We start from the raw sequence: 21,862 nt of genomic DNA on the forward strand, positions 1-21,862 counted from the left end.
CAAGCTGGAATCCTGGGCCTACTACTTACTAGCTGTATACTTTGACCAAATAATTTAACCTTTCTTTCTGTTCCTCAGTTTCTTCATCTATAAAATGGGAATGATAGCAAGGTAGTTAGGAGAATTAAGATCATTTTAATATTTATAAAACATTTGTAACAGTGCGTGAAATATTTTAAGTGTTGTGTTACTTTGTTCTTCTTCTTTAATAGTTTCTGAAATAAAGAAGAGACTCCAGTTCTAGATGTACAAATACCTTAATAGCTCTAGGTGTTTGAAGTCTTCGAAAATTAACTTTTTGGCTTACTTGAGTTTACTCTTGGATGATAATAATATGTAAAATGAGAATACGGGGAAGATGATAAGGTTTGTTTAATGAAGATATGAAAGGCTGCAATTCTTCCACCTGAGAAGGAAGACACTAAGCATGATATGATTAAAATGTTTATGTATATGACCACAATGTGCTAAGTAAAATACAACTGATGTTTTCTTTTTGGCCAAATCTTTAAATCGTTAAAAAAAAAAAAAAGATGTGACAATGACAACATAAATGCATTCAAAGCCTAGCCAGAATATAATAAGCAGTTAATATGTGCAAAGCATCATGCACATTACTTGTATAATGTCTAATAATCTCTGCCTATGGGCAGACACTACAATTGCCCTCCTTAAACAGAGACTTGGAAAGATTAAGGTTACAAAGCTAACAAATTTAGGAAGCACAGTTACAAACGACTACTATAAGGAGCTGGGACATACCTAACGACCAATCTGATGTTTAAGAAACTTAAATATTCTCTTCCTTAGGGGAAAAAAAGGTTTTTAGGGGCCAATGTTGACAATGGAGATTAGATAAAATAGACCATTAGTCTTTCTCAGTAAATCAATTCCCATTTTGCTGGGAAAAATTAGGGATTTTCAAGCAGTATTTTAAAAGTATTTTACAGTCATTAAAAATGGAGGACATAAGACTTGTAAGTGGATAAGGGATCTAGCTGTTATTACCTCTTTAATCCAATGGCGGTACTCATTAACACCAAAAGTTTTTTTCATCCAAAGTCCATAGATATAGCCTGAAATTCCCTTCAGCACCCATTCATCAGACCTAAGCAAAAAGTCAAAGCATAAATTACTTTTAATCATAAAAACTCCTCAGATAATGTCAAAGAGGATAACGGAATAAGTGTAGTGTGTATTTCCCTGCCTTCATAAAGAAAATGAAAATTATTAACAAATTATCAGGTTTCCCAACTTCCTCTGAGTTCTACTTGCCCATTTATTATACCTTATTCACACCTGCCTTTACCTTTCATTATGAGACTGCTTTACAGTCTTGCTTCAGGTATAAATTACCAGAGTACATGCTCTACTCTGACAGTGCTGCTTCCCTCCTGCCCAACTCTGTTCTTACTGTCTCTGCCTCTAAGGAAATACTTGCTCATAGCCAGGACTATACTGTTCAATTCTAAAAGTCTACATGCTATTATTGCCAATCCCATGCATTATGCCATTACCAATGATATTCTAAAACCTAAAGTTTAATTCCTTCATTCATTTTTTTTTGCTTTCTCTAGAAAAATGGCAATTAACATCACTCACTCATTTATTCATTTGTATACTCATCCATCTATCCATCTACCCACTCCATCCATCCATCCATCCATAATATTTTGCCTACTACATTCCAAGCACTATTCTTTAATGAAACTTCTACATGTGATTTTAGGAAAACTACAAATCAAGAGATCTATCTTTAGTCTCTGCCCTCTCCTCTCCACTCCAGCAAGCGAAAAAAGAAAACCAACATTTCCATACTATATATAGTATAGAATGTTCACAATTATAATCTTAATTTTTCTGTTTTCTTCAAAATAATCTCAAGTTAATAAAAAAGAAAAGAAAAAGCATATATACCTTTCATTTCTTTCAACAAACTGGTACAAAGCTGAGCACTAGTAGGCAAATCCCTAAATAATTATTAATATTGCAGAGGAGTACTATTTTACATTAAATATTGAGTTATTTCCAATTGCTTTGAACACTGACATTAAAATTCTAACTTCAGATTTCTGTACATTTAAGTTCTTTTATTTATAGAATTCATTCAGTTCTTTAAGACACTGTTTTACCAAAATCTTACCTTATAAACTGCAGAAGTGATTATATTGATTTCACGGCCAAAAAGTTAGGATAAAACTTATAATCATTTTTCTTTAAATACATATAGAACAGTGTCTTTTAAATTAGCTAATTTAATTAACTAATAAATATAAGTGACTATATTGATTTCATGGCCAAAAAGTTAGGATGAAACTTATAATCATTTTTCTTTAAATACATATAGAACAGTGTCTCTTAAATTAGCTATCTGCAATTAGGGCAAAGGTCAGCTTAAATGCAGAGAAAGAAAAGAAAAATAAACTTGATTCTCTTCTCAGTAGTATGAACTTTCAGGTCACTCACCAAGACATTCTAGATATGAAACAACCAAAAAACTGCTGGGCCAAGGATTGGGCTAAACACCTTCTAGTCAAAGGTGTCTCATCTATAATCATGGCACTGTGTAAAAGATTTGTGCTGGAATTTAAAAGAGAAGAAAGCTCATTATAACCAAGAAATAAATACTTATTCAGTGAAAATAAAATAATTCCACTTTTAAAACAATGGAAGCTAAATAGAGAAAAAATTCTCCCACCTTTCTAATCTTTTCAAAATTTAGCTAAAATTCATCATCTTAGTAACTTGCTTAAAGCAAAGAACACATTTTCCACTGATGATATCAGTAAATTTCTGACAATATCAGTACATTTTTAAATAGTGCTAGAAAAAAATTCATACTAGTCATACAATAATTTGTACAATTTTTAAAGAATTTATGAACACAAGACTAAAACAGGGAAAATACTAATATTAGTTAATTCTGGATGAAGATGAGCCTTTTGAGTTATCTCAAAAACTTTGTCTTCATGTTTTTCTACATTTAAAAAATTTTAAAACCAAATTTTGTACAAAGCCAATCACATCCAAATTGCGGAAAAAAGTTCAAAGCTCGTCTTAAAATTGACCGCAAAATCAGTAAATTTTCTTCATATCATGATCTTAATTTAGGCATTTCAAATCTGAAGAGATACCAACCTAAAAATGCTCATGGAAGCATAAGCAGCCACTTCAACATAAGCCTCATCAATGAAGACAGTCTTAAAACAGGAGTATGGGTAACGACATGTAAGAATTTCTTCATAAAATTCAAAGACTTCATGAAGGTATGATGTGGTATGTTTCAGCAATGGAAGAAGTTGGGGCAAACAAAAATGAGTAACCTGAAAAGAAGAAGCAAGGAAGATCATCTAAATGAAAGAGTTAAATTTAATATTGGAAATTTCCTAAACACCTCAACTATAAATAAATGTTCTCATAAATCTATTCTTTAATAATTTCAAGATGCTGAAAGAAAATGTTGTGAAAATAGTGATCACTTTTACTGATCACATTTATAAAATATTAACTACTTAAAAATTAAATTCACGGTGGATTATAAGTCTGTGGAATGCTCAGACCAACTAAAATACAACTCTAGTTCCAAATTCAATTAAAATTTTTTCTCATAGGTACACATAATAAGACTTAAATTTCAAAGGTTTATTATAAACATACCTCTTATTCATAAATATTTAACCCAGTGAATAATGCACGTTATAGTACTATCTTATCAACAGTTAATGTTAATCATATTATCTGCATATAAAAATAATTACTGTAGTCCCCCTCTAATATTTCAATTACACACCAAAGACTGCAGAAAAGTTTACTGGTAGTTAGGAGATTAAAAAATGCCTGCAACAGAAATAGTAACTCTGTTTTTTTTCATTAGGTTACATCTCACTTTGGTCACACAAATATCATATGCTATCTCTTATTATGATCTGTGCCAAATGAGTGCCATCAACAATGACACAGGTCACTGACTAGAACAACCGTGTAAGGTTTCATGCAGGAGTGTGAAGCTGTGGTAATCTTTTTGAGTTCAACAGAAGTTTGATAGGAAACTTTTGGTACAGGAAAAGAGAACGTCCCAGGGTCAAAGATGGGAAGAAAAAAGGTATGATCAGAGAAATATAAGTAAACTATTTTGAATATAACATCTATTACGGTCAAATTATAGAAGATCTTGAAAGCCATGCTAAAGAGTTCTAATTACTGCAGAATTATAAAGGCAAGGGAAATTTTTATCATAAAAATTATTCTTCTAATAGCATTTAAAAAGAACAGATTAGAGGCTACCATAAGAGTGGAGAAAAGCATCTATGTATTACTAATAATCAGGGCCCAAATTTGTATCATGATTAACACTCTGTTTGTATTAATCATATTTAATCATAATTTTATTTGTGTATGCAAATAAAAAATACTATTCACCAAAAAAAGGACTAATTTTTAGACAAATCCTACAAGACAGCAAATTTACTGATAATGCAGACAAGTCATGTATTTGACACAGAGAAGACTAAGTCAGGAAAAACAATTCTTGACTATCATTTGCCTTGTTCCTATTCAATAGCTCAGAGTAGAAAAAAAATTCTTCTTAAATACAAAATCGGTACTAATCAAACATTGATTTTTTAAAATTTTTTTATATTATCATTTTTTATTATACTTTAAGTTCTACGGTACATGCGTACAATGTGCAGGTTAAATATGTATACATGTGCCATGTTGGTGTGCTGCACCCATCAACTCATCATTTATATTAGGTATATCTCCTAATGCTATCCCTCCCCCATCCCCCCACCCCACGACAGGCCCCGGTGTGTGATGTTCCCCTTCCTGTGTCCAAGTGTTCTCATTGTTCAGTTCCCACCTATGAGTGAGAACATGTGGTGTTTGGTTTTTTGTCCTTGCGAGTTTGCTGAGAATAATGGTTTCCAGCTTCATCCATGTCCCTGCAAAGGACATGAACTCATCCTTTTTTATGGCTGCATAGTATTCCATGATGCATATGTGCCACATTTTCTTAATCCAGCCTATCACTGATGGACTGGGTTGGTTCCAAGTCTTTGCTATTGTGAATAGTGCTGCAATAAACACACATGTGCATCTGTCTTTATAGCAGCATGATTTATAATCCTTTGGGTATATACCCAGTAATGGGATGGCTGGGTCAAATGGTATTTCTAGTTCTAGATCCTTGAGGAATTGCCACACTGTCTTCCACGATGGTTGAACTAGTTTACAGTCCCACCAACAGTGTAAAAGTGTTCCTATTTCTCCACATCCTCTCCAGCACCTGTTGTTTCCTGACTTTTTACTGATCGCCATTCTAACTGGTGTGAGATGGTATCTCATTGTGGTTTTGATTTGCATTTCTCTGATGGCCAGTGATGATGAGCATTTTTTCATGTGTCTGTTGGCTGCATAAATGTCTTCTTTTGAGAAGTGTCTGTTCATATCCTTCGCCCATTTTTTGATGGGGTTGTTTTTTTCTTGTAAATTTGACTTCTTTGTAGATTCTGCATATTAGCCCTTTGTCAGATGAGTAGATTGCAAAAATTTTTCCAATTCTGTAGGTTGCCTGTTCACTCTGATGGTAGTTTCTTTTGCTGTGCAGAAACTCTTTAGTTTAATTAGATCCCATTTGTCAATTTTGGCTTTTGTTGCCATTGCTTTTGGTGTTTTAGATAAGAAGTCCTTGCCCATGCCTATGTCCCGAATGGTATTGCCTAGGTTTTCTTCTAGGGTTTTTATAGTTTTAGGTCTAACATTTAAGTCTTTAATCCATCTTGAATTAACTTTTGTATAAGGTGTAAGGAAGGGATCCAGTTTCAGCTTTCTACATATGGCTAGCCAGTTTTCCCAGCACCATTTATTAAATAGGGAATCCTTTCCCCATTTCTTGTTTTTATCAGGTTTGTCAAAGATCAGATGGTTGTAGATGTGTGGTATTATTTCTGAGGCCTCTGTTCTGTTCCATTGGTCTATATCTCTGTTTTGGTACCAGTACCATGCTGTTTTGGTTACTGTAGCCTTGTAGTATAGTTTGAAGTCAGGTAGCATGTTTAAAGCTGATCATTTACCAAAGACAATAAAGTTCACTGCTAATCTTATCAGTGGATAAACCTTTAAAAAGAGTCATTGTTAAGACAACGTAAGCAAAACCAACACAAAATATCCTGAATCTTTTCCACGAGTGATTTTACAAATCCTGTGAATTTCAGCAAGGCAAATATAAAAGGCAAACTGAGGAGCTCACCGAAAGCCTGCTGCCCTCAATTTTTATTCACATGACTAAAAGAAATGCTGTGGAGATATACGTGGTCAAATTATATGCTTATGTATTTCTTTTTTAAAAAATAAACCTAAATTGAAGACGAAAAAAGAGAGTTAACAACTAATAAATCATTTTCTAATCAGCAGAAGTCTCATGCTTGGGGAGGCCTAAAACTGTGATTTGGCCTGTCAATTGATAAATGAATTGTGATAAGATATGTGCTGGGAAGAAACTAGAAGTCTTCATGAGTTTGCTAACCAGGTTTCTAACTCTGTCTGTTTTCCTCTGTATAGGTTGAAGAGAGAATAAATCTTGCTCTTTAATTTTGAATTTACAATATTTTAGATTCCAGAGATGGGACCACAACATTCAAAAACATGATAAATGAAAAGATGTCATTAGTAATGAACAAAATTAGTTACAGAAATCTACCTATATGCTAAATCAAGATATAACTGAAGCTCTTTTGAAATGCTAAGACTCTGTTGGAAAATAATCTGAAATTTAAATACAACATTTTGAAAGAAATTCATTCAAGAATTCACATCATTATATATATTAGATAAGGAAACATTTTCTCTCTAGTCATATTCTTGATAGTTGAAAAAAGAGTGAAGGAAGACAATATTTCATTAATATCTACCTTTTTTTTTTTTTTTTGAGATGTCGCTCTGTCATCAAGGCTGGAGTGCAGTGGCACAATCTCAGCTCACTGCAAGCTCTGCCTCCTGGGTTCAAGCCATTCTCCTGCCTCAGCCTCCCGAGTAGCTGGGACTACAGGCGCCCACCACCACGCCTGGCTAATTTTTTGTATTTTTAGTAATGACAGGGTTTTACTGTGTTAGCCAGGATGGTCTCGATCTCCTGACCCTGTGATCCGCCCACCTTGGCCTCCCAAAGTGCTGGGATTACAGGCATGAGCCACCGTGCCTTGCCAATATCTATCTTTTTAAAAGCAGTAAAGGGCCAGGAGGAGAGTAAGAGAGGAAAGCTCTGACTTACCTCATGCATGTATGGATCTACCAGTATTTCAAATGGTCCAATGGCCAAGGAGATATTTGACGCTGCTGTAGGAATGGTAAGCATATAATGGAAAGTTTTCTTCCTCATATCATGAGTATACACTGTCTCCACCAAATCGCCATTAGAAACAGCAACCATTGCAGCATCTACTGTAAATTCTAATTTCCATGTACACAATTCAGAGTATGAATCAACACAAGGGAACCAAAATCTAGAAAAAAGATTGACAGTATAGAAAATGTATTCAAAGAGTTCTCTACATTGTTTTCCCCACATGCAAGTTATTTTAGCATTTCTAGAAAATGAACAAACAAAACCTTTAGCTATTTGGCTACTGAAGCTTTTTACTGTACAACCTGAAAAAAATCTGATAAAATAAAATCTGTTTCCAAATACTATTTGGCAATATTAAGAAAATATATTATGTGGTACCATCAGTTCAAACCCTAAAAAGAGTTAAGCAATTCTTAGCTTTCAGTGTTTTAAAAAATAATTTTAACTTGTATCCGCATATTAGTCAGTTTTTATGCAGCATTCATTTCTAGAAACTAAAAAAGGCTCACAGCAAAAAGTTTTATAAAGCATAACTAACATTCAGAATTTATTCCATTAAATTATAAAACTGCTTTTTTGGAGTATGTAACGTATTGTATAAATTCAAACTGAGTGCTGGTTAAGTTAGATATAAAATTTATAGTCAGCTTTCATCAGTTCAGTAAGGTGTTACGTGACAGGGTAGGTACTTAGTATTGAAGCACAAAAGTGTGTAAGACATTATCCCTGGTTTAGAGAAGTTATTATAATAATCTGAGGACAGGCTGGGCGCAGTGGCTGACACCTGTAATCCCAGCACTATGGGAGGCTGAGGCAGGTGGATTACCTGAGGTCAGGAGTTGGAAACCAGCCTGGCCAACATGGTGAAACCCTGTCTCTACTAATAATACAAAAATTGGCCAGGCATGTGGCATCTGCCTGTAATCCCAGCTACTCCAGAGGCTGAGGCAGGAGGATCACTTGAACCTGGAAGGTGGAGGTTGCATGAGCCGAGATTGCATGAGCCGAGATTGCGCCACTGCACTCCAGCTGGTGCAACAGGCTATCTCTACTAAAGATATGACGAAACCTGATCTCTACTAAAAATAAAATAATTAGCCAGGTGTGGTGGCACATGCCTGTAGTCCCAGCTACTTAGGAGGATAGGTAGGAGAATCACTGGAACCCAGGAGGTGGGGATTGCAGTGAGCCAAGATTATGCCACTGCACTCCAGCCTGGACAACAGAGTGAGACTCTGTTTCAAAAAAAATAAATAAATAAGCAGAGTTGAGTAGTAGAATGTGGAGTGGGGAAGTAGAGTATGAAAGCAGGTGAGAGGAGGTCTCTATAATCTTGTAATATTCTTTGTCTCTAGATGTAAATTATGTAGGCTTGTTCACTTGTGAAAATTCATCGAGCTTTACATTCTGTGCAATTTTCTGTATGTATGTTTTACTTCAATATAAAGTTTTTAAAAAAGAAGGAATCAAGTGAGATGATTATTTTAGAACAGTAGACATGAAAATGAGAGAGAAGAAGGGAGATGTAAGATTGAGGAGGGGTCGGGCATGGTGGCTCATGCCTGTAATCCCAGTACTTTGGGAGGCTGAGGCAGGCAGATCACTTGAGGTCAGGAATTAAAGGCCATTCTGGCCAACATGGTAAAACCCCATCTGTACTAAAAATATAAAAAATTAGGCAGGTGTAGTGGTGAATGCCTGTAATACCAGCTACTTGGGAGGCTGAGGCATGAGAATCACTTGAACCCAGGAGGCACAGGTTGCAGTGAGCAGAGATAGCACCCCAGTGTATTCCAACAAGGGTGACAGAGCAAGACTGTCTGAAAAAAAAAAAAGAAAAAAAAATTTTTTTTTAAGAGGAATGACTAACAGAAAGTAATTTGAAAGAAGTCTAAATTTGGAAGGGAATAAAACTAGTATTTCTTGTTTTACACCAAATGTATGTCTTGCTTATACATAAAAAATGCAATTTAAAAATTAATTGAAATATTTAAGAATCTATAATCTACCTTGTAGAATTTTGATACCCACAAGAGAAAACATGAGCACCTCTCTCTGCCATACTTCCCTCTACACTGGGTACCACAAAATGAAGACCTCCTTTGGGCTGATCCAAAGAAAAATTGATGTGTATCTTCAGGACCTTTAACTCTGCAACAAATAAACATATACACACATTGATACATAAGTTACAGTGGTCTATATAATAAAGACAAAGATTTAATGCTGAACATGAAATGGAATTGAGGACTGAGATTTATATGAAAAACCACACTACTTACCCTAGTTTAGACTTTTACCATATGTCTGCCTATATTAACTCAACAGGCTGCCCCTATTGGTTTTCTACCTCCAATCAATTATAACTATTGCTTGTATTATTTTCCCAAAATACACCTTTGGTTACGCCATATCCTCCTCTCAACATTTCTGACAATGTACAATGCCTAAAAAGTCCAAAACTCCCACACTGCACACTTAGGCCTTCCAAATCCAACCCCAAACTTACTGATATAGTTTGGCTCTGTGTCCCCACCCAAATCTCATCTTGCAGCGCCCATAACTCCCATGTGGTATGGGAGGGACCTGGTAGGAGGTAACTGAATCACAGGGGCAAGTCTTTCCCTTGCTGTTCTTGTGATAGTGAATAAGTGTCACAAGATCTGATGGTTTTCAAAATGGGAGTTGCCCTGCACAAGCTCTCTCTCTCTCTTTTTGCTGGCAGCCATCTGCATAAGACATGACTTGCTCTTCCTTGCCTTCTGCCAAGATTGTGAGGTCTCCCCAGCCATGTCAAACTATAAGTTCATTAAACCTCTTTTTCTTCCTAGTCTCAGGTATGTCTTTATCAGCAGCATGAAAACGGACTAATACACTTACTTTTCAAGTTCTTTCTCTTATTATATTATCCCACAAACTTAACCCTGGGTGACTTTGGGGAGTACAAGGATGAGAGGTAGAGTAGGGAACACCACCGGAGAATTTGCATTATTATCACGTTTTTTGTTATGCTTGATTTCTTCACTATAAACTGTGTTGCTTTCATAAGATTTTAATTTCCCTCCAAGAATTACAATCATATGCACTATCTCCAAACCCTAAAAATGCAATGACGACTTCCACGTCTGTCCCCTAAATTAGGGTAAGTTCCTCCACAAACCCTACCCCGTCCCCAGCACCCACAACGGAAACCAATAAACAAAACAAGGACTCTTTTACTTCCTTGATTAATTTTTATAAGGCTAAATAAGCAAGGCAGAAGCTAATATACAATATTACAATGGCTAAAACTTTATACAAGACACAAAGAAGGTTTAAAAAGTCTGCAGACTGAGTATCAGGAACCATGTGTTTTAGCTTTAACTTCACCAATAATTTGCTAAGTGAAGTTCAGCAGGTCACTCACTCTCATTAGACTTCAGATTACTCTTCTGTAAAAAGAAGGAATTTAACCAGATTTTTTCAGGATCTTTCCTGCTACAAAATGCTACAATTCTAAACTAATTTGATATTGTGCAGGTTCTACCTATATGATTTTTTAAAAATATTTTTCATGGCCAGGCGCAGTGGCTCACGCCTGTAATCCCAGCACTTTGGGAGGCCAAGGAGGGTGGATCACCTGAGGTCAGGAGTTCGAGAGCAGCCTGGCCAACATGATGAAACCCTGTCTCTACTAAAAATACAAAAATCAGCCAGGCGTGGTGGCAGGAGACTGGAATCCTAGCTACTCGGTGGCTGCGGCAGAAGAATTCCTTGAACTCGGGAGGCAGAGGTTGCAGTGAGCCAAGATTGCGCCATTGCACTCCACCCTGGGCAACAAGAGCGAAACTCCGTCTCAAAAAAAACAAAAAAAAATTTTTTTTTTAGCTTTAAAAAACAACGGTGAAATAAATTGCTTTTTTCACAGCCCTGAAATGGTATCATCCTGTTAGCCAGTGATCCTTAATAAGAAAAAGAGCTTCCAACCCATTCTATATATTTCAACTGGTTAATTTACAATTTTGACATCGTTAATGTTCTTTCGTTTTGTTTTTGTTTTTCTTTTTTTTTTTTTAAGACGGAGTCTCACTCTGTTGCACAGGTTGGAGTGCAGGGGTGCGATCTCAGCTCACTGCAATCTCCACCTCCTGGGTTCAAGCAATTCTCCTGCCTCAGCCTCCTGAGTAGCTGGGATTACATGCGCCCACCAAGCCTGGATAATTTTTGTATTTTTAGTAGAGATGGGGTTTCGCCATGTTGGCCAGGCTGGTCTTGAACTCCTGATCTTAGGTGATCCACCCGCCTCAGCCTCCCAAAGTGCTGGGATTACAGGCATGAGGCACAGTGCCTGCATCATTAGTTCTCATGTAAAATTCTCTAGTGTCTGAATCTAACGTGATTTTAGTGTACAGTCAATATACTCTTGGTGCTTTACCATCAACGTGTTTCCATAGCTCTGATGGAACCTTAATGCAAAGTTCTCCATTTCCTGCATCAGGGTCCACAGCACTAACTGCAGCTGCATAAGCATTGGAAAAATAATTGAGGTTTCTCCTGGGGAAAAAAAAGAGCCAACTTTTAATAATAAGCCATGTATCTTACCAAGCATTTTTCTTTCTTTCTTTTTTTTTTTTTTTTTTTAGATGAAGTCTCACTCTGTTGCCCAGGCCAGAGGTCAGTGGCACCATCTCAACTCACTGCAACCTCCACCTCCAGGTTCAAGCATTCTCATCCCTCAGCCTCCCGAGTAGCTAGGATTACAGGCACCCACCACCACAACCAGCTAATTTTTATATTTTTAGTAGAGATGGTGTTTCACCATGTTGGTCAGGCTGGTCTCGAACTCCTAACCTCTAGTGATCCATTCACCTTGGCCTCCCAAAGTGCTGGGATTACAGGCATGAGCCACCATGCCTGGCCTCTGAGCATTTTCTTAAATATCATTTGATACCAATTATTTGTAAGCATTTTATCTTCTTATATAATTTCTAAGAACACTCTTTAGCCAAGTAATGGTTTGCTCTACTCACCATGTTAAAAACTATTAATCTATGAATACAACAGAATATATATTCTACTCACCAAGTTACATGACTATTATTATGACTATCACATTCTTCATTAATTTTGGAATGCCAAAGCCACTATCCTTTTTTGATACAAATGTAAAGAATACGTGAAGCACTGAATAAATAATTATTCCCTATCAATGTGGCAAAAAATTGAATGGATTCAACAAGCTTTATAATTTGACAAAAATTAAGATGTTTAAAACAAATCAGGATGGGACTCAGTTCCTCAAAATGTAATAGCACCTACCTCCACCCATTAGTGCATCATAATGTAAGCTTAATGAAGCAGAGAATTTTCAGCAGGCTCACCGTTATATTCACTATGTCAGGAGAGACTACTACATAAATATTTGTTCCATAGTTATCTGACCTTATTTCCCATTTGATGAAAACAATACGATGAAGTCTTACAGAAACGTGAAAATGTTGTTCTCAACTGGTTTTTAAATTGTACTCCATAAAAGCAACTTATATGTGTACATATACACATATTACATTTCCTCACTGAAATTAGTTTAAAAAAATACGAAAGAAATGAAAGACAGGAAAAAGATACGGAATGGGAAGGGCAAGAATACAAGATGAAATACACAAACACCATGGACCACATCCTCGTTGTACACCTTTATGTCTGCCATCCTGCCGTTAGGTGTAGCCACAAGGTGAAATTAGTGACATTCCTATAACTTAATACTTTTTTCATCTAGTTAAAAGACAAGTTTTAGCTGGACACGGTGGCTCATGCCTGTAATCCCAGCACTTTGGGAGTCCAAGGTGGTGGATCACCTGAGACCAGGAGTTCAAGTCCAGCCTGGCCAATATGGCGAAACCCTCTCTACTAAAAACACAAAAATTAGCCAGGCGTGGTGGTGCATGCCTGTAATTCCAGCTACTCGGGAGGCTGAGGCACGAGAATCACTTGAGCCTGGGAGGCGGAAGTTGCAGTGAGCTGAGATTGCACCACTGCACTCCAACCTGGGCAACAGAGTGAGACTTTTTCTCAAAAAAATTAAAAAATAAAAATAAAAAGACAAGTTCCACATATTCTACGGAATAATTAAAGGAAAAATAAAATGAGAAAAGCCATTAAAGAAACATTAAGGCTACAGACTCTTAACTTGACAGAGGCCATTCCCTCTCCATCTTCATCAATCTCTCTACCAGTTAGGAAGGATATAATATAACTATGGCTTTAACAACTATTCAAGGTAACAACTACAAAGCACAGAGTTCTGGAAGTGAAAAGACTTCTCAATATATTTTAATAATTTCTTTCTGTTAAATAAACATTGTTGACAATGAACACTGACATTCCAAAAACATTCAGAGCATCTTCACCAGTAGATCCCATCTCAAGAAACCACTTTCTTTGCTCATCCATAAGCAGCAACTCCTCCGTCCATTAAAGTTGTATCATGAGACTGCAGCAATTCAGTCTTACCTTTAGGCTCCACTTCTAATTCTAGTTTCATTGCTATTTCTACCACAACTGCAGTTACTTCCTTCTCTAAACCCCTCAAAGTCATCCATGAGGTTTGGAATCAACTTCTTCCAAACCCTTGTTCATGTTGATGTTTTGACCTCCTCCCTAAATCATGAATGTCCTTAATGGCATCCAGAATGGTGAATCCTTTTCAGGGTTTCAACTGACTTTGTCCAGATCCCTCAGAGGAATCACTATCTATGGCAACTATCGCCTTATGAAATGCATTTCTTAAATAATAAGACTTGAAAGTAGAAATTACTCTTTAATCCATAGGCTGCAGAATAGATGTTATGTTAGCACACATAAAAACAGTATTAATCTCCTAGTACATCTCCATCAGAGCTCTTGGGTAACCAGGTGTCTTGTCAATAAGCAGTACCATATTGAAAGGACTCTTCTTCTGACCAGTAATCTCAACAGTGGGCTTAAAATATTCAATTCAGTAAGCCATACTGTGAACACCTGTTGTCATCCAGGCTCTGTTGCTTCATTTACAGAGAACAGGAAGAATAGATTTAGCATAATTGTTAAGGGCCATAGGATTTTTGGAATGGTAAATGAGCACTGGCTTTAACTTAAAGTTCCCAGCTGCATTAGCCCCTAATAAAAGAGTCAGCCCGTCCTTTGAAGCCAGGCACTGACTTCTTTTTAGCTGGGAAAGTTCCAGATAGCATCTTCTTCTAGTAGAAGGCTGTTTCATCTACATTGAAAATCTGTTGCTTAGTGTAGCAACCTTCATCAAAAACCTTAGCTAAATCTTCTGGATAACTTGCTGCAGCTTCTACATCAGCACTTGTTGCTTCACCTTGCACTTTCATGTTACAGACAAAGTTTCTTTTCTTAAACCTCATGAACCAGCCTCTCTTAGCTTCAAAATGTTCTTCTGCAGCTTCCTCACCTCTCAGCATTCACAGAACTGAAGAGAGTTAAGCCTTGCTCTGGATTAGGCTTGGCCTTAAGGGATGGTGTGGCTGGTTTGATTTTCTATCCAGATCTTTAAAACCTACTCCACATCAGCAATAAGACTGTTTCATTTTCTTATCATTTGTGTATTCACTGGAGCAGTACTTTTAATTTCCTTCAAGAACTTTTCCTTTGCAGTCACAACTTAGCTAACTGGGGCCAAGAGGTCTAGCTTTTGGCCTTCCTCCCTAAGCTTAACCATTTCTATAGCTTTTGGTTTAAAGTGTGAGATATGAGACTCTTCCTTTCACTTGCATGCTCAGAGGCCATTGTAGGGTTATTAATTGACCTAATTTCAATATTGTGTGTCTCAGCAAACAGGGAGGCCCGAGGAAGGGGACAGAGACAGGGAACAGCTGGTCCACAGAGTAGTCAGAACACACACAATGTTTATCATTTAAGTTTACCATCTTATATGCATGCCATCTGTGGCGTCCCCAAAACAATTACAATTGTAATATCAAAGATCTCTGATCACAGATTACCTTAACAGATATAATAATGAAAAAGTTTGAAATATTGCAAGAATTACAAAAATGTGACATAGAGACATGAAATGTGCATGTGTTGTTGGAAAAATGGCACTGATAAACTTTCTTGATGTAAGGTTATCACAAACCTTCAATTTGTAAAAAAAAAAAAAAAAAAACAGTATCTGCGAGGCACAACAGAGCAACAGAGCAAAGCACAATAAAGGAGGTATGCCTGTGTTTTTTTAAATTATCATACAATTAAAAAAACCACTTTTTTGGGGGTGTACAGTTGTACAAATTTTAACATATGTACAGATTCAGTTAACCACCAAAAGTAGGATATAGAACAGTTCTATCATCCCCAAAAAGTCCCTTATGCTATCCTTTGTGTTAAATAAATGGAATCACATAGAATGCTACCTTTTGAGACTGGCTTGTGTCACTAGGTTTTTGAAATTCATCCAAGTTGTTACATATATTAATAATTTGATCCTTTTGCCATTGAGTGGTATTATATTGTATAGACTGTACCAGTTTGTTGATCCATTGACCAGCTGAAGGGCATTTAGGTTATTTTCAGCTTTGGAAGTGTGAAATAAAACTGTTATGAACATTTGTGTACAGATTTTTGTGTGAATATAAGCTTCATCTCTGTAGTACAAATACCTAACAGTGGGACTAGAGTCATATGGTAAACACATTTAACTTTCTAAAAATCTACAAAACTGTTTCAGAAGAGTTGTACCATTCTGCATTGCCATCAGCAAGATCTGAAAGTGCCAGTTGCTCCAAATCCTTGTCAGCACTTACTTAACACACCATCTAATTTTAAGGACTATTTTATCTATAGAGTATAATTTATTTTCAATAAAATTTCAAAAACATAAAATTTGATGATTGCAAAACTTGTATTCCACCCCAAGTTATCAGGGAAATGCAAAAATAAAATAACTATTGTACAAAAAGAAAGCCAGATTTAAACATTACATATTAATTAGTTTTTTTATGGGAAATTATTTTCATTTAATCTTCTCATTTCCTGAGAAAAGGTGAAGTGGTCCAAATAAAATGAGTGAGTCATTATAAATGCAATCAACTGGGAAGCCAGTCTCAAATAATCTGATGGTTTAGATTTCAATACACAAATCAAATGTTTTCTTTCATAATAACCTCATAGAAGTCAAAAATTACAGTGTAAAATTATAATGTGTTTTCAATTTTCAGAATAATAATGACTACAAAATATTTAATGTCCTTGCCCTATAACCTCTACCATCCCCATCTCCCAATCCTCCTTACAGAAATGCAACTTAAAGAGAAGAAATGCTATAGAGAGATATTGAAAAATTAGTAAATTAAGGGAATAGATATAATTTTCTCTAAGAATTTTAAATATCCATATTGAATTAATATGATAATCATTTGTCAAATAAAGAACATCTGCCTCTTAAAACTATAGATGCAGATTTTATAAAACTTCAGTTTCAATTATTTGTAAACTTTCCCTCTATTTAAAAAATTTTTTATAGAAGTAAACTTTTATGGAAGTAAACTTTTATGGAAGTAAATCAGAAAGCTACACACGCCCTAGTAAACAGCTCGATAAATTTTCACAAACTGAAAAATTAAAGTAATAAGCCAAAACCACAATGAACAAGGATGACTCTAAAAATAACCAAAACAGGCCGGGCACGGTGGCTCACGCCTGTAATCCCAGCACTTTGGGAGGCCGAGGCGGGCAGATCACGAGGTCAGGAGATCGAGACCATCCTGGCTAACACGGTGAAACCCCGTCTCTACTAAAAATACAAAAAATTAGCCGGGCGTGGTGGTGGGCGCCTGTAATCCCAGCTACTCGGGAGGCTGAGGCAGGAGAATGGCATGAACCCAAGAGGCGGAGCTTGCAGTGAGCCGGGATAGCGCCACTGCAGTCCAGCTTGGGCGAAAGAGTGAGACTCCGTCTCAAAAAAAAAAAAAAAAAAAAAAATAACCAAAACAAAATTTAACCTGGAACCATGACATAAGGCTGCTGAGTGAAAAATCTACCTTAACAGGTTTTCCTATGAAAAAGCCTAGGGGTTTCACTGCTTACAAGCTCAAATTTGATCCAACTACAAATGCAACTTTTTTGTTTTTTTTTAAATTTAGAGCGTTTACATGAGCCAAAGTGACAACAGCTGCTCAGAAGACTCACCCAAGTAACCTTGGATATGGCCTCCATTTAAACTTTGTTGCACGCAAGTTTTTAAAGACAAAAAAGAGGGACAGGAAGTGGTTTGACACAAAACTGTCTGTCAGGGATTCTCACTGGTTTAAAGAAATAACATTGATTAGTGATTGGCTATATATTTTTAAGCTATAGGGTGTGAGTTATAGCATCCTATGTGACCTTGTTAGGTTAACTAACTACCTGGGCCATAACAGGCAGTTTCAAGGCATTAATAGATAGCTCAAGACAGGGAGCCGAATGTGATTGCTGCCTCATTTTTTTTTTTTTAATTTCAATAGCTTTTTGTGTACAAGTGGTTTTTGGTTACATAGATGAATTTTACAATAGGAATGTCTGAGATTTTAGTGTATCTGTTGCCCAAGTAGTGTACATTGCACCCAATATGTCATTTTTTAAATCTCTCCCTCCTCCCCGCTTCTGAGTCTCCAATATCCAGACTTCTATCACTCTGTATGTCTTCACATACCCATAGCTTAGTCTCGAATAATCTGATGGTTTAGATTTCAACATACAAATAAAAAATGAGAACATATGGTATTTGGTTTTCCATTTCCGAGTTACTTCACTCAGAATACTGGCCTCCAGTTCCAGCCACGTTGCTACAAAAGACATTTCATTATTTTTTTATGGCTGAGTAGTATTCCATGGTGTGTGTGTGTGTGTGTGTGTGTGTGTGTGTGTATATATGTGTGTATATATGGTGTATGTGTGTGTGTATATACACACATGTATACATACACCACACATACACACCATTTCCTTTATCCACTCATCAGTTAAATGTGGACTTAGGCTGGTTCCATATCTTTGCAATTGTGAATTGTGCTGCAATAAACATAGACATGTAGGTGTCTTTTTTGACATAGGGACTTATTTTCCTTTTAATAGATAGCCAGTAGTGAGAACGCCAGATAAAGTGGTAGATCTACTTGAACTCTCCATACTGTTTTCCACACAGCTTGTACTAATTTACATTCTCACCAGCAGTGTATAAGCAATTCCCTTTTTACCATATCCACGCCAACATCTGTTTTTTTTGTTTTGTTTTTACTTTTTCATAATGGCCATTCTGGCTGGGATAAGGTGTATGTCATCGTGGTTTTAATTTGTATTTCCCTGATCATTAGTGATGTTGAGAATTTCTTTATATGTGTTGACTATTTGTATATCTTCTTTTAACAAATGCCTATTCATGTTGCTTTAATGTGTTTTATCTGATATAAAAGAATAGCTACTCCTGCTATCTGATATAAAACAATAGCTACCCCTTTACCATGAGTCTACAAGAATCCTTATGGGTGTTAGGTGATTCTCTTGAGGACAGTGGATATTTGGTTTGTGATTTTTAATCCTAAAACAACTTTTAAAAGGCAAATGAGTTTCAAGCTACTAGAAATACTGTATCTAGATAAAGGACAAAATGGATCTACTGGAATGTATATACTGATTAGTCCAAATAGGAAGAACCATATCTAGAGTTCCGGGATTACCACATTTAAGAAAACACAGTATCAAATCTGAGATTATCCAGAGAAGGACAAAGAGGATGGAAATAAATTGAGAAAGAGTTTCTAACATGAGGAATGGTTGAGAGTAATCTCAATAATTCTGTAGCCTGAAGATAAGAAAACTTAGGGGAAAGGTATGTATTTAATTAGGATTAAGTTTGTGACTATTAAGGCAAAATGAACTGTAGCTCAATGTAATAAAGAACTTTCCAGCATTTAGAAATAATGAAAGGGGTGTGTTAAAATATAATGAGGACCAAGCATGGTGGCTTATGCCTGTAATTGCAGCACTTTGGGAGACCAAGGCAGAAGGACCACTTGAGGCCAGGAGTTCAAAACCAGTTTAGGCAACATAGTGAGACCATGCATCCAGTAAAAAATAAAAAATTAATTAATTAACCGAACGTGGTGGCATGCACATATTGTTCCAGCTACTCGAGAAGCTAAGGTAGATGATGGCTTCAGTGCAGAAGTTCAAGGCTGCAGTAAGCTATGATTACACCACTGCATTCCAGCCTGGGTGACAGAGCAAGGCTCTGTCTTTAAAAATATAAAAATAAAAAAATTAAGAAAAACATATTATGAGCCCTGCCGAACTGGAAGTATTCAAGTAGAAGATGAAATAGTAAGGCTTCATGTTGAAGTTTAAACTAAATGAACTCTAATGTCCCTCCAACTCTAAGATAACTTAATTCTAATACTAATAAACCAACTGGCAGTGCAGCATTGTAGCTCAGTTAAACTATTGCTATTACTTAACCATAATCAATAAGGGAATTACCAATTTCTATTATGTGACATTAATGAAATAATTTTAAACTCCATGTAGAAGTCTGCATTAAAATATAGAATCTACAAAATCTTAAAAAAAAAACCACAGCAATTTAAAAAAATCATTATAACTGGATAACTACTTCATTTATATACTAAAATAGATAATTTCATTTCTGCTGCCCCTCCTTGGTGGAAATTAAACTCATTTTTGACACTGAAAAGTTGGGACATTTCAAGTAAAATAAAAAAGGGCTTCTCGGCTGGATGTGGTGGCTCATGCCTGTAATCCCAGCACTCTGGGAGGCTGAGACAGGCGGATCACGAGGTCAGGAGTTCGAGACCAGCTGGGCCAATGTGGTGAAACCCTGTCTCTACCAAAAATACAAAAAAAAAAAAAAAAAAAAAATTAGCCGGGTGTGGTGGTGCGTGCCTGTAGTCCCAGCTACTAGGGAAGCTGAGACAGGAGAATCGCTTGAACCCAGGAGGTGGAGGTTGCAGTGAGCCAAGATCGTGTCACTGCACTCCAGCCTGGGCGCCAGAGCAGGACTCTGTCTTTAAAAAAAAAAAGTGGGGCGGGGTGGGGGGCTTCTCAAAGTGGCAAAGCCTGGCCAGGTGCAGTGGCTCACGCCTGTAATCCCAGAACTTTGGGAGGCCGAGGCAGGCATGATCTCGAACTCATGATTACAAGGCATGATCTCGAACTCATGATCACAAGGTCATGAGTTCGAGACTAACCTGACCAATATGGTGAAACCCTGTCTCTACTAAAAATACAAAAATTAGCCAGGTGTGGTGGCGCATGCCTGTAATCCCAGCTACTCGGGAGGGTGAGGCAGGAGGATCACTTGAACCTGGGAGGCGGAGGTTGCAGTGATCAGAGATTGCACCATTGCACTCCAGCCTGGATGACAGAGCGGGACTTGGTCTTTTTTTTTTTTTGAGAGGGAGTCTCACTCTGTCGCCCAGGCTGGAGGGCAGTGGCTGGATCTCTGCTCACTGCAAGCTCCACCTCCTGGATTCACGCCATTCTCCTGCCTCAGCCTCCAGAGTAGCTGGGACTACAGGCGCCTGCCACCACACCTGGCTAATTTTTTGTATTTTTAGTAGAGACGGGATTTCACCGTGTTAGCCAGGATGGTCTCGATCCCCTGACCTCGTGATCCACCCACCTTGGCCTCCCAAAGTGCTGGGATTTAAAGGCGTGAGCCACTGCACCCGGCCGAGACTTGGTCTTAAAAAAAAAAGAAAAGAAAAAGAGGCAAAGCCTATCTAGGAACAAAACAAAGAGGAAAAAAAGCTAGGTTACCCATCCACAGAGACAGTTTCTCTGACAAAGTCTACATTTAACTTTTTCTAAGAAAAGAGAAGTACAGCAAAAACAAAAACACCAAAGTGTAGCTCCTGTGGAGACAATCTACAATCTATCTACAATCCATAAGATTCACACACAAAATATATGTCGAAAAACTTCAAGTGCTGAATTATTTTATTGACAAATAGTAAAGCAAAAAGACAGCTGCTTATACACGTTACATAACCAATATGTTTTTAAATTGTTAGTATATGTAATGTAACATGTCAGCTAACAGTTGGATAAAATAGATAGAAATGCCTTTCAGCCTCTTATCCAAGTGTTTCTTTTCCTTATATTCCTCTACAGTTCAAAGGAATCTCAACCACTGTAAGCACACTCTTTCTTTTTTTTTTTTTTTTTTGAGACGGAGTCTTACTTTGTCGCCCAGGCTGGAGTGCAGTGGCGCGATCTCGGCTCACTGCAAGCTCCGCCTCCCAGGTTCACGCCATTCTCCTGCCTCAGCCTCCCAAGTAGCTGGGACTACAGGCACCCACTACTACACCCGGCTAATTTTTTGTATTTTTTTTTTTTAGTAGAGATGGGGTTTCACTGTGTTAGCCAGGATAGTCTCGATCTCCTGACCTCATGATCTGCCCGCCTCGGCCTCCCAGAGTGCTGGGATTACAGGCATGAGCCACCGCACCAGGCCTGTAAGCACACTCTTTCAATCAAAAATAG

The 21,862-nt window shown here is 37.0% G+C and overlaps 1 protein-coding gene across 8 annotated transcripts in view; it reads right to left on the minus strand.

Annotated features, from left to right (window-relative positions):
- Positions 1-21,862, minus strand: part of TAF2 (TATA-box binding protein associated factor 2) — a 102,068-nt gene that overhangs the window by 63,750 nt on the left and 16,456 nt on the right. For 5 of the 8 annotated variants that reach the window (NM_001437339.1, NM_001438084.1, NM_003184.4 and 2 more), the window contains 6 exons: positions 11,760-11,878; positions 9,355-9,496; positions 7,271-7,502; positions 3,139-3,323; positions 2,467-2,580; positions 1,009-1,108 (listed from right to left, as the gene is read on the minus strand). In NM_001437339.1, the coding sequence (NP_001424268.1) occupies positions 1,009-1,108; positions 2,467-2,580; positions 3,139-3,323; positions 7,271-7,502; positions 9,355-9,496; positions 11,760-11,878 (892 nt within the window). Of the gene's footprint in view, positions 1-1,008; positions 1,109-2,466; positions 2,581-3,138; positions 3,324-7,270; positions 7,503-9,354; positions 9,497-11,759; positions 11,879-21,862 lie in introns of those variants that run through there. The other 3 variants (XM_047422152.1, XM_017013783.3, XM_047422153.1) reach the window with 3 other exon arrangements.

Source organism: Homo sapiens, chromosome 8 (assembly GCF_000001405.40).
Source record: "Homo sapiens chromosome 8, GRCh38.p14 Primary Assembly".
Taxonomy (NCBI): Eukaryota; Metazoa; Chordata; class Mammalia; order Primates; family Hominidae; genus Homo; species Homo sapiens.